The following is a 12,719-nucleotide window of genomic DNA, read 5'->3' as shown; positions in this document are numbered from 1 at the left end:
ATTGCACCACTTGCACTTCACCCTGCGCGACAGAGCAAGAGTAGTCTAAAAATAAATAAATAAATAATAATCATCATCTTAAAACTCTAACAGGGGCTCTTGAATGCAGGTTTCTGATAACTTTGGAGATTGTGACATCAGAATAGAGGAAAAACTTTCAGACTCATGGAGAGCTAAAATGTTCATGAATATCAAAGCAGAACAGGAATTAACTGCATGGATTGAACTAATTTTTTTGACCTTTTGCTTAAAACGTTGCTGATCCTTTGTTTTGTTTTTCAGAGTCTTCAAACTTCTCTTTTGAGCTATTGACAGCTTTTAACAATTTAGTATACTGCTATGACCAAAATTTGGAACATATTTGTTTCTCTCTACCTGAGTTCTCCAGAATTTGGAAACTATTTGTGAGTATTCTTAATTTATGGCAATACAGTTATTTGCATAAATACAATAAGAATCTGTTTTCACTGCTAATAGGACACAACTGGAGAAACTAATTATTTTACCAAGGCTTTGACTGGAACCATGTCATTTCTTTTAAGAACTCAAACTTGATTTATGAAGCCAATAACGCCCTTGGGAAACTGGCCTCATATTTTGTGTACACAGTCCCTGAACAGGGTTTCTGACTTGTGTTAAGTAAAGAATGTTACTTTATGGCAGGCCCAGGAGCCCCAGGTTTATCCTGGAACCTCAAGAGGAGAGGAAATTCACCCAACTCATAGATATTTGATGGTACAAATCCATGGCAAGGCTTGGCTTTAAAAAAAAGTCTTGCCTGAGATTCCTTCTATATAACAAAGTTCCATCAAAGCCAATTTTTAAAAAAAGCCTATGTGAAAAATAACTATTCTTGCTGTACTTTATACAAATAATCTGGCTAAGTATTATAAAGCAAATCGGTCCTACCATGATTTGTCTTTAGTAAAAACAGGAAACTGGAGAAAGAAAAATTATGTTTCAAAAACTATAGTACACCTGTCATTAGATCCTAGTCTTGCCTAATGTTTTTCAATTTTAATAATTTTCTACAGTTTGGGCTGAATTCTAATTTTTCTTGGCTACAAGTCTTCAAAATAATGTTTTCAGCCAGGCACGGTGGCTCACACCTGTAATCCCAGCACTCTGGGAGGCTGAGGCGGGCAGATCACGAGGTCTGGAGCTCGAGACCAGCCTGACCAACATGGTGAAACCCCGTCTTTACTAAAAATACAAAAATTAGCCGGACGTGGTGGCATGTGCCTATAATCCCAGCTACTCAGGAGGCTGAGGCAGGAGAATCACTTGAACCTGGGAGGCGAAGGCTGCAGTGTGCTATCGCGCCACTGCACTCCAGCCTGGGCAACAGGACACAGCGAGACTCCGTCTCCAAAAAAACAAAACAAAACAAAACAAAATAATGTTTTAAATTTCTTTTCCTCCTTTTTTTTTCCATTTTCCTAATTTGGAGTCACTGAAAATTAAGCCGTACTTTCTTACAGCCCTGCAAACTGAAGCCAGACAACTTCAGAAGAAAATAACAGCAACCTATTTACATACATAAGCCACTTTCATACCTGCCTACTGATGTATAGACTTCAGAAGAATGTGGCCTATATTGATATCCAGGATTGTTCTTTTGTTTGTTGTTGTTGTTTTCACTTCCTCCCCGTATTTTCTCTTCATAGGACATGAGACTTCACAACCTTCTAAAAATGAACTTTCCTAATAACTCGGGGACCTATCCGTCTAGGAATAAACCATCCTAGCCGTAAGAGATCAGATGAAACCTAAGACCAGAGATTCATTTTCTTCTAAAATGCTTTCTCCAAAAGATTTTAAAAAAGAAAAGGGGGAAAATGTGAAAGGAAAATATCTTGGGCCCCCAAAATCACTAAGCTAAAGGGAAATGTCAAGCCAGGAACTGCTTAGGGCAAACCTGCCTCCCATTCTATTCAAAGTTGCCCCTCTGCTCACTGAGATAAATGCATATCTGATTGCCTCCTTTGGAGACCCTAAGCAGAAACTCAAATGTAATTATTTGTCTCTTATCTACCTATGACCTGAAAGTCCCCTCCCTGCTTCGAGTCCTCCCGCTTTTGCTTCTAGTTGTCCCGCCTTTCTGGACTGAATGAATGTTCATTCTTACATATGTTAATTGATGTCTCATGTCTCCCTAAAATGTATAAAACCAAGCTGTGCTCTGACTATCTTGGGCACATATCATCAGGACCTCCTGAGGCTGTGTCACGGGCATGTGTTCTCAACCTTGGCAAAATAAACTTTCTAAATTAACTGAGACCTCAGATTTTCAGGGTCACACTGTAAAAAGTAAAGTAGACGTTCCTCTTCAAAGACTTTCCTCCCCATCTAATTAAGATAAATAGTAACTTCTCTTAGAAGCAAAATTTATTCAAAGACCTCTGCTAACGTTCTTAAATATCTGCTAGCCATAATGAAGAAGTCACTGTACTTTATGTTCTTAGCTCCCACAATTTAGCCTAAATATTTGCCCTGGCATGCTTATACTGGTCCAAGCAAGCATTAAGTCATAGCCTATTCTTCTTCCTTATTTGAAGGTGTTTTTACCTTTCTCAGCATTCCACAAGTTATTTCTTCCTTCCTTTGTTCTCCTCTTCCTTTGCTTCTTTTAAAAAGTTCTAAGTTGCTAGCCAATCAAGACAAATACGAATGTGAAGTCCCATTCCAGCCAATAGAAACCGGACACAGCAGTAAAGTATATGGGTCAAGTTATAAATGATCCTGTCTCATTTATTCAGTGTACTCTCGTGGCAAAACTGCTAGTGAGTGTACCCTTTCTGCAGAAAGTAAAAAAAATCCTTGCTGAAGAAATTAAATTTATGTTCAAGTGCTATTTCTTTACGGCACCAAAGAACAAGCATTTCTAACAACACTATGATTTCCATTCTGCAGATGAGGGAATCAAGGCTCTGAGGAGTCGAGGAACTTGCTTGAGCTACACAGCTAATGAGCGGTACAGCTCATATTTCAATGCAGGTCAGACTGACGGGGAAGCCCATTCCTGGTTTATCTCAGCTGTCCTGGGAGCCCTCTCGGCCACTCAGGTCCTAGCTCCACGGCCCTTTCCTTTCCTCTGGCTTCCCACCAAAGTCTCACCTGGATGTGGTGACGAGACAGGCGGAAAATCTCCTGCGCCATCGGCAAGGTCTTTGAGTCCATCACCAGGTAGAGCAGATGCAGGAGGGCAAGGAAGCCTGCGCCTCTCAGGTCTGTGGCTGGATTCGCTCCTGTAACAGAGACCGTGAGGAAACAGGGTGTGGCAGCGAGCAATGCTTCAAGGGCTTGCCATGGGAAGCTGCCCTGACACTGGCCTCTTCCCAGGCTAGCGGAGCATGAGCAGCACACGTCCACTTTCTGCCACACTTGTGGGGCTCATTCTAATGAGCTAAGCAGGGGCTATGCACCAAATGGGGACCCCAGCGCCCTGGAGGCAGCCTCCCACATCAGTTTTCTTGCTGCTGCCTATGACCCTTGATAGTTACTTCTACACAAAACCACCAAAGCAATCCTTTACAAAAAAGGCTGAATTTACAGTTCTGGAACAAGATGAATAATGCACTTTCTGCCTATTCCTCCCACTAAGTACAGCTAAAGCCCTGGACATTACTATATAAAATAAACAGAAGGCTCTGAAAGGAGGGAAGACAGACTTACTAGGAATCTTGAGAGCTGAGAAATGACTCTCTGGTGAATTCCTGGGTTTCTTTTTGCCTAATATATCCCAGATGGAGAAGACAGCAACCCAGAAATGCCAATGGGAGCAGACCAAAAAGCCCCAAGGAAAGCTGCTCTCTCTAGCCAAAGGGTGGGGAAAGAGGCAGTGTAGCAAGACAGAAGGCTTTAGCCAATACCCACCCTACTGCAGCAAAACACCACAGAGAAAAATGTGGCCCCATCCCCACTCTTCTCCAGAAAAGGCTGAGCAGGGACCCTAGACTTCCATCCTGGCCTAACTGTATCAAGGCACCCCTTAGCTCCACAAGGGTAGCGTCAGAGAAGGCCGGGCAGGGAGCTGGGACTTTATCTTTCCCAGTGGTAAGGAGCCCCCTTGCCTCCTCTGCAATGTGGAAGCCACATAGGAAGAGTAACGAGGCACCCCTGGCCCCACCAGCCATGTTGGCCAGGCTGGTCTTGAACTTGGTATTACTGCAAGCCAAGTGGGATACCCGGACTTCCACCCCCACCTGGCAGTAACATGGTGACGTCCCTCCTTCCCCTGCTGGCACAGTAACAGGGGAGGCCTGCTAAAGTAGAAGATTTAAGTAAGATCCAGAGTCTCATACAGACTACCCAAAATGTCTAAGATACAATAAAAAATCAGTTGTTACACCAAGAACTAGGTAATTCTCAATTCGAATGAGAAAAGATGATCAACAGACACCAACAGAGATGACACAGTTGTTGGAATTATTTGACAAGGAATTTAAAGCAGCCGTGGTAGGCAAAATAATCCCCCCGCCCCACGATGACCATGTCCCCAGAAGCTATGACTATGTTATGTAACATGGCAAAGGGGATTAAGACTGCAGGTAGAATTAAGGTTGCTGATCAGCAGAGAGGGAGATGATCCTGGACTGTCTGGGTGGGCCCAATGTCATCAGAAGGGTCCTTAAAAGTGGAAAAGAAAGGCGGAAGCCCAGAGCCAGAGAAAGAGATGTGAGGAATCGGGCTCAGAGAGATGCTGTTTCTGGCTTTGAAGATGGAAGAATGGAGGTGGCCTCTAGAAGCTGCAAAAGGCAAGGAAATGGACTCTCTTCCAGAGCCTCCAAAAAGAACACTGTGCTGCCAACACCTTGATCTTGACCACAGGTTCTCAGTAAGACCTGAGTCAGACTTCTGAACTAGAAAACTATAAGACAATAATTTGTGTTGTTTTAAGCCACTAGGTTTGTGGTAATTTGTTACAGCAATGATAGAAAGTGACTATAGGATCTACCATAAAATGCCTTTGGTAAGCAATTATGAACAAATACACTTTGAAAAAATGAAAAAATAGAAAGTTTCAGTAAAGAAACAGCAGATATAAAGAAGAACCAAATGGAAACTTTAGAACTGAAAAATAGAAGAACTAGAACTAAAAACTCTCTGGATGGGGTCAACAGGAGAACGGAGACAACAGAATCAGTGAACTTGAATATGGGACAGTAATAATAGAATAACATAATATGAACAACAGAGGGACAGAAAAACAAAAACCAAAATGAACAGAGCCTTGGAGATCTGAGGCTATAACAAAGATTTTAAAAAATGAACAAAGATAGCATTTGTATCATTGGAATCCCACAAGAGAGGACAAAGTGTGGAGCTGAAGAAAGTATTCAAAGGAATCACAGCTGAAAATTGACCAAATGTGGCAAAAGACACAAACCTACAGACTCAAGACACTGAGCTAACCTCAAACAGGAGAGGCCCAAATAAATCCACACAATGACACATCACAGTCAAATTCCTGAAAACCAAAGACAAAGCAAAGATTTTTTTTTTTTTTGAGATGGAATCTCGCTCTGTCGCCCAGGCTGGAGTGCAGTGGCACGATCTTGGCTCACTGCAACCTCTGCCTCCACACCAAGCAGCTGTGACTATAGGCACATGCCACCATGCCTGGCTAATTTTTGTATTTTTTTAGTAGAGATGGGGTTTCACCATATTGGCCAGGCTAGACTCGAACTCCTGACCTCGTAGTCCACCCGCCTTGGCCTCCCAAAATGCTGGGATTACAGGATGAGCCACCGCGCCCGGCCAGCAAAGATCTTTCTTTTGAGACAGAGTCTCACTTTGTCACCCAGGCTAGCGTGTAACGGTGCTATCACAGCTCACTGCAGCTTCGACTTCTTGGGCTCAAGCAGTCCTTCTGCCTCAGCCTCCCCAGTAGCTGGGACTATAAGCATGCGCCACCACACCTGGCTACTAAACAAAAGTTTTTTTTTTTGGCCAGGCATGGTGGCTTATGCCTGTAATCCCAGCACTTTGGGAGGCTCATGCAGGTGGATCATTTGAGGTCAGGAGTTCAAGACCAGCCTGACCAACATGGTAAAACCCCATCTCTGCTAAAAATACAAAAAATAGCTGGGTGTGGTGGCACAGGCCTGTAGTCCCAGCTACTTAGAAGGCTGAGGCAGGAGAATTGCTTGAACCCAGGAGGTGGAGGTTGCAGCGAGCTGAGATCATGCCACTGCACTCCAGCCTGGGCAATAGAGTGAGACTCCATCTCAAGAAAAAAAAAATTATTTTTTGTAGAGATAGGTTCTCATAATGTTGCCCAGGCTGATCTTGAACTCCTTGTCTCAAGCAGTCCTCCTGCCTTGGCCTCCCAAAGTGCTGGGATTACAGGTGTGAGCCACCATGCCTGGCACAAAAAATATTTTGAAAGCAGAAAGAGAATATGAACTCCTTACTTATAAGGGAGAGATCATTCAAATGACAGTGGATTTCTCATCAGAAACTATGCAGGCCAGAAGGAAGTAGCACATTTTCAAGTGCTGAAAAAAAAGAACTGTCAACCTGGAATTTTATATCCAGAGAATTCAGAAGTGAAGGGGAAATTGAGACATTCTCAGATGAAGGAAAACAAAGACAATTTATAGCCAGCAGACCTATCCTAAGAGAATAACTAAAGGAAGTCCTTGAAATAGAAAAAAAAAAAAAAAAAAAGAGGGTTAGGAAGGAAGAACAAACAATGGAAAGAGTAAATACAATAGATTTTCCTTTTTCTTATCTTTTTTTTTTTTTTCTGAGACGAAGTCTTACTCTGTTGCCCAAGCTGGAGCGCAGTGGTGAGATCTCGGCTCACTGCAACCTCCACGTCCTGGGTTCAAGCAATTCTCCTGCCTCAGCCTCCCACGTAGCTGGGACTACAGGCACGCGCCACCATGCCTGGCTAATTTTTGTATTTTTAGTACAGACAGGGTTTCACTATTTTGGCCAGGCTGGTCTTGAACTCCTGACCTCGTGATCCTCCCGCCGTGGCCTCCCAAGGTGCTGGGATTACAGGTGTGAGCCACCGTGCCTGGCCCAGATTTTCCTTTTTCTCCAGAGATTCAGAAATTATGTATATTGCAGTGTCACAGCTCTTCTACAATTTGTCTAGCAGGTTTTCTGGTTCTTCGTGAGAACCCCTCCTCAAAAAAATTATGTTTGTTGATTGAAACAAAAATCTTAACATTACTGGTGCGATTCTCAATATATAGAGAGGATACATTTAAGACAATTACATGATAGATGAGAGAGGGAACAGGGACTTAACCATGTTGCCATACCAACAGACCACCAGTTAATTAGGGGTACATAAAGTTTCCTTTTATCTTTTTTTTAAAATTTTTTGAGACAGAGTCTTGTTGTGTCACTCAGGCTGGAGTGCAGTGGTGCAATCTTGGGTTCATCCTCCGCCTCCTGGGTTCAAGCGATTCTCCTGCCTCAGCCTCCTGAGTAGCTGGGATTACAGGTGCACACCCCCATGCCTGGCTAATTTATATATTTTTAGTAGAGATGGGGTTTCGCCATGTTGGCCAGGCTGGTCTCAGACTGTTGACCTCAAGTCATCTGCCTGCCTCGGCCTCCCAATGTGCTGGGATTACAGGAGTGAGCCATAGCACCCGGCCTTAAAGTTTCCTTTCAAAGTTATTTTCCTATTCTATACAAATATAATTTGATATGGTTTTGTCTTTTTTTTTTTTTTTTTTTTGAGATAGAGTCTCGCTCTGTCACCCAGGCTGGAGTGCAGTGGCGCAATCCTGGCTCACTGCAACCTCATCCTCCCGGTTTCAAGCGATTGTCCTGCCTCAGCCTCCCGAGTAGCTGGGACTACAGGCACGTGCCACCACACCCGACTAATTTTTGTATTTTTAGTAGAATTGGGGTTTTGCCATGTTGGCCAGGCTGGTCTTGAACTGCTGACCTCAGGTGATCCACTTGCCTTGGCCTCCCAAAGTGCTGGGATTATAGGTGTGAGCCACCATGCCCAGCCAATTTGATATGGTTTTGAAAAAAAATAGTACAATCCAAAAACTGGTGAAATGATTCTGTTTCACTCAGAAAGTAAAATAATATATGATAAAATTTTCATAAATATTTTTTAGAGAGGAAAAAACCCAAAAATGCCAGATTCTGTCACATCACTCCAGTGTTTTCCATATCACTTACAGTAAATGTTTACAACAGCCTAAAAGACCACCAAGTGATCTTTCCTCCTGTCACTTTCATCTCCACCTCAGCCACACTCTGGCTATTTTTTTCTGAGACAGTCTCCCTTTGTCACCTAGGCTGGAGTGCAGTAGTGCGATCTCTGTTCACCGCAACCTCTGCCTCCGGGTTCAAGTGATTTTCCTGCCTCAGCCTCCTGAGTAGCTGAGATTACAGGCACGTGCCACCACGCCTGGCTAATTTTTATTTTTAATTTTTTTTCCGAGACAGAGTCTTACTCTGTCACCAAGGCTTGAGTGCCGTGGCGCAATCTCGGCTCACTGCAACCTCCACCTCCCAGGTTCAAGCAATTCTCCTGCCTCAGCCTCCCGAGTAGCTGGGATTACAGGCGCATACCACCAGGCCTGGCTAAATTTTCTATTTTTAGTAGAGACGGGCTTACACCATGTTGGCCAGCCTGGTCTCGAACTCTTGACCTCGTGATCCACCTACCTCAGCCTCCCAAAGTGCTGGGATTACAGGCACAGGCCACCGCACCCCACCCTAATATTTGTATTTTTAGTAGAGATGGGATTTCATCATGTTGGCCAGGCTGGTCTCGAACTCAGGACCTCAAGTAATCTGCCCTCTTCAGCCTCCCAAAGTGCTGGGATTACAGGCGTGAGCCACCACGCCCGACCTACTCTTGCTATTTTTCAAGCAGAACTAGCAGGCGCCCCCTCAGGGCTTTTGCATTTGCTGCACCCTCTTCCCGGAATACTCCCCCAAGATCTTCCCCCTCATAGCACTGGAAGAGAACGACCTGGCCTCTCACTCTAGTCCTGGAATCAGAGGCATGAAAAAGAAGATGAGCTACTCCTCCCTCTTACCCTGAAAGCCCAGGTCCTCCCAGTGGTTTCCATGAAGGGCACAGTCAAACTTGGAGCCGGTCAGCTTCTTATAGATGGTCTGGAGGACTCGGCCATGCACTGGGTCTTGGCTATCCAGGCCACCTGCCCCAAAACACACCCACACTCTCTGCCAGATTGCCCCTCATGGGAGAACCGGGTGCTTCTCAGAGAATGTGAGATCTGGACTGTGAGACATCCAGTTCTCAGCTCCCACTCTCACCCGCCAACCATGGTACATGCAATATTCCTGGCTTAGCCTCACAGGGTCAGCACACACGGTCTTGCCCAACCACAGATGCAGCAACTGCCCTGTGGGCTCGCATTGCACTCACACTGAGCAATGGTCAGGACCAAGTCCCTTTCTTCCCGAAGGCGCTGGTGGAGCTTTGGAGGCCCGAAGAGGTAGTGTCGGAGGGCGGCGAGCCCAGTCCTTCGAATAGTTGGCTGGATTCTTTTCTGGGGAAGAAGTTGCAGGCAATGGGCAGAATGCTGGTTCATTTCCCTTAATCAACTTCCCATCAGGCTCAGACCAGAGGCAGTGCTTGCAGAAAGTAACTCCCCCAGCTATCTGGCTGGCCTTTGGGCCAAGGGAAGGAGGCAGAAGCTGCAAGGCACCTGTTGAGTCTCTAGAGCCAGGCTCTTCCAGCTCCCAGATTTTTTGCAAGGTGAAAGACATCCCCAAGCGTAGGTATTATCAGCCATTATTTGCATTTAGTCCTCTGGGCTTTTCCAGAACTAGGTATTCCACTGACTCCCACAGGGGTTACACCTGCCCAGCTCCCCCAGGCAGTCAGACAAATGCCAGGACAGGTTTCCCAGGAGGTGGGGACCCACTAGAGTTAGATGACTCTGAGGGGTAGCTGGAATCTTTTGGTCACAACCAGCACTTCCCAAGTGAGGTCATGTTGGCTTCTCATGGCTCAGGGTCACTACTGCAAGCCTTAGAATATTCTGATTTCGGTAGCTTTCGGCTCTCTGGGTCCTATAAAACAACTTGGTTCCTATCTTTTTAGCCTCTCTCCCCTGAGCAAGGTTTTAGGTAGAAGACCTGAAATCACATTTCTCTAAACGTATTGTTACTCAATATGGCCCAGAAAGCTCCCCAGCTTTTTTTTTTTTTTTACGGAGACAGGGTTTCACTCTGTTGCCCAGGTGTGATCATAGCTTACTGCAGCCTTGAACTCCTGGGTTCAAGTGACCCCTCACCTCAGCCTCCTCCGAAAGAGCTGGTATTACATGTGTGAGCCACTATGCCCAGCACCCACCCCACCCCTAGCGTTTATTCCCCCAAATATTCCTTCTTTTTCCAGCTTATATCTTTCTTAAATTCCTAAATAGCTTCTGGTTCCTTGAGGGAATGGAAGGTTTTCCTCCACTGGCCATGAATCACTCAGCTCCCTGAACAGTTTGCCTTGCCTCTGCAAGGATCTACCTAGTACTTGACTCTAGATGTCCCCATCCCTAAAAGGGAAGAGTAGATAAACAGCTATACAGGCCCCTGAATGACAGGGCTACAGGAGCTGTAAGGGCATAGTCCCACAAAAGCTACCAAGGCCCCAAATGAAGCATGGGTCCTAGGCCACCCATGATCCTGGGCACCAAGATCTTAGGGGAGATTTGCTTGCCCAATGCCCTGTCCTGGTGGGATAGAGGCTTGGCTCCTAGGGAAAAGGCACTTTGCTTGAGACTCCAAACCCTGCTACCCTCATACCTTGAAGGGGGAAAGGTCCACAGTCTGGAAGTGCTGCAGGGCCTCACTGAAGGAGATTAGCTGCCCAGGCTGCTCTGAGCTAGCTTGGCTCCCTGTGGCAAAACGGAAGACATGCCAGGATTTATAGGAGTCATTCTGTCAACAAACATTTACTGAGGCCCTCCTACTTGTCACTTCCAAGCCAAGCACTGGCTTCCAGTTGAACATCAGACACTTACAGCTACAACCAATCTTCTTTCAAGAGGCTGGCATTGTCGGCGAAGAGGACTCTCTTTTTGGACGAGGCTATTCAGTCTTGCTAGGTCAGCCTCTGTGGTGGGTATGGGGCGGATCTGCCCCACGAGGTGATCCCTAAATGCTCTCATCTACGAGGGGGCAAGTCACTGCCTGGGGTGGGTACCCACATAAGAGCATGCAACCAGTTTGTTTAAGGGCCTTTCCTAATTTCCACTTTTCCCTTCTTACACCCTGTATAGGAACCCCCAACCATACACCTCTGTTATAGCCAATAGGGAATTAACTGATTAGTTAGCAATATAGGCAATGGCTGATACTATTCACTGGGCCCAAGGAGCTGAAGAGAGGCTCAGGCTAGATATAGGTCCTAGTTCTATCTCTTCATCCAACCTCTTAGAAAGAAACAGGAGACAATTTTTACTCAGCCTTCAGAGCCTTCCAGCAGATTGCTTCAGCTCCCATCCCCAGGGACTTCCTTGTGCAGTAAACAACCTGAGCAGCCTTACACAGGGGCCCATCTCCATCCTCCTACCCAGCCTTGCCACTCTGTAGAAGCTGCCCTAACCAAGGTCAACCCTGTCTTCTCTCATGGCTGGGTGAAAGATGGACAGGGATGGCAGCCCTTTCTCCATGGCCTTCACTCTGGTTTCCTCCAGAGGTAGGATGTCATCATCTTAGGATTTGAAAAAGGTACTGTAATCTATGTTATATAGTTAAAATGAGCACTCTCAGGAATTCTATCTCCTAGTCCCAGACTCACAGAAACATTTGCCACATGTGTGGATGGTGCCTTTGCTGGCAGAGGGGCTATGGGGAGACAGCAGCATTCGTACAGTTACCTGTCTCTGGCTGGATGGTGTCCACAGCTTCCCATTCTTCTTGGGCTCTGACCACCTCTGTACTCACAACTGCAATAGTAGGAGAAAAGGAGACCCTCTGAGATCTAGGTATGTCTGGGCCTCTACTGCAGACCCCAGCCTTGTCTGCCTGCCTTGGGCCTATTTTTTTTTTTAAGAGATGGGGTGTCACTGTGTTGCCCAGGCTGGAGTGCAGTGGCTATTCACAGGCATGATCCCACTATTGATCAGCACAGGATTTTTGAACTGCTCCATTTCTGACCTGGGCCAGTTTTCCCTTCCTTAGGCCACCTGGTGATCCCCCACTCCCGGGTGGTCCCCATATTGATGCTGAACTTAGTGGGGCCACATGATCAGCATGGCACACTACAGCCCAGAATTCCTGGACTCAAGCAATCCTCCTGCCTCAGCCTCCTGAGTACCTGGAACTACAGGCACGCACTACCACATCTGGCTGCCTTGGATCTTAACACCCTCTGATCCTCTCCTCACAGGTTTGCTAGAGTGAGCTTTTGAAAAGTAAGATTGGCCGGGCGCAGTGGCTCATGCTTGTAATCCCAGCACTTTGGGAGGCCAAGGCAGGCGGATCACGAGATCAGGAGATCGAGACCATCCTGGCTAACACAGTGAAACCCCGTCTCTACTAAAAATACAAAAAATTAGCTGGGCGTGGTGGCAGGCGCCTGTAGTCCCAGCTACTCTGGAGGTTGAGGCAGGAGAATGCGTGAACGCGGGAGGCGGAGTTGCAGTGAGCAGAGATCATGTCACTGCACTCCAGCCTGGGCAACAGAGCGAGACTCCACCTCAAAAAAAAAAAAAAGAAAAGAAAAGTAAGATCCGACATCACTGCTCAAAACCCTCCAG

The 12,719-nt window shown here is 46.0% G+C and overlaps 1 protein-coding gene, 1 non-coding gene and 1 pseudogene across 30 annotated transcripts in view; 1 reads left to right on the top strand and 2 right to left on the bottom strand.

Moving 5' to 3' along the window:
• ELMOD3 (ELMO domain containing 3) overlaps nucleotides 1-12,719 on the bottom strand; it is a 36,980-nt gene that overhangs the window by 11,157 nt on the left and 13,104 nt on the right. For 25 of the 29 annotated variants that reach the window (XM_047445971.1, XM_047445972.1, NM_001329791.2 and 22 more), the window contains 5 exons: nucleotides 11,838-11,906; nucleotides 10,762-10,853; nucleotides 9,383-9,506; nucleotides 9,030-9,152; nucleotides 3,118-3,248 (listed from right to left, as the gene is read on the bottom strand). In XM_047445971.1, coding sequence (XP_047301927.1) covers nucleotides 3,118-3,248; nucleotides 9,030-9,152; nucleotides 9,383-9,506; nucleotides 10,762-10,853; nucleotides 11,838-11,906 — 539 coding nt within the window. Of the gene's footprint in view, nucleotides 1-2,568; nucleotides 2,648-3,117; nucleotides 3,249-9,029; nucleotides 9,153-9,382; nucleotides 9,507-10,761; nucleotides 10,854-11,837; nucleotides 11,907-12,719 lie in introns of those variants that run through there. The other 4 variants (NR_138132.2, NR_138133.2, NR_138131.2 and 1 more) reach the window with 3 other exon arrangements.
• On the top strand, nucleotides 7,078-7,138 carry LOC124906137 (U7 small nuclear RNA). The gene has a single exon (XR_007088705.1). It is a non-coding gene; the product is annotated as a U7 small nuclear RNA (small nuclear RNA).
• On the bottom strand, nucleotides 12,012-12,310 carry RN7SL113P (RNA, 7SL, cytoplasmic 113, pseudogene; annotated as a pseudogene).

Source organism: Homo sapiens, chromosome 2 (genome assembly GCF_000001405.40).
Source record: "Homo sapiens chromosome 2, GRCh38.p14 Primary Assembly".
Taxonomy (NCBI): Eukaryota; Metazoa; Chordata; class Mammalia; order Primates; family Hominidae; genus Homo; species Homo sapiens.
This window is presented reverse-complemented; position numbering and strand designations above follow the sequence as displayed.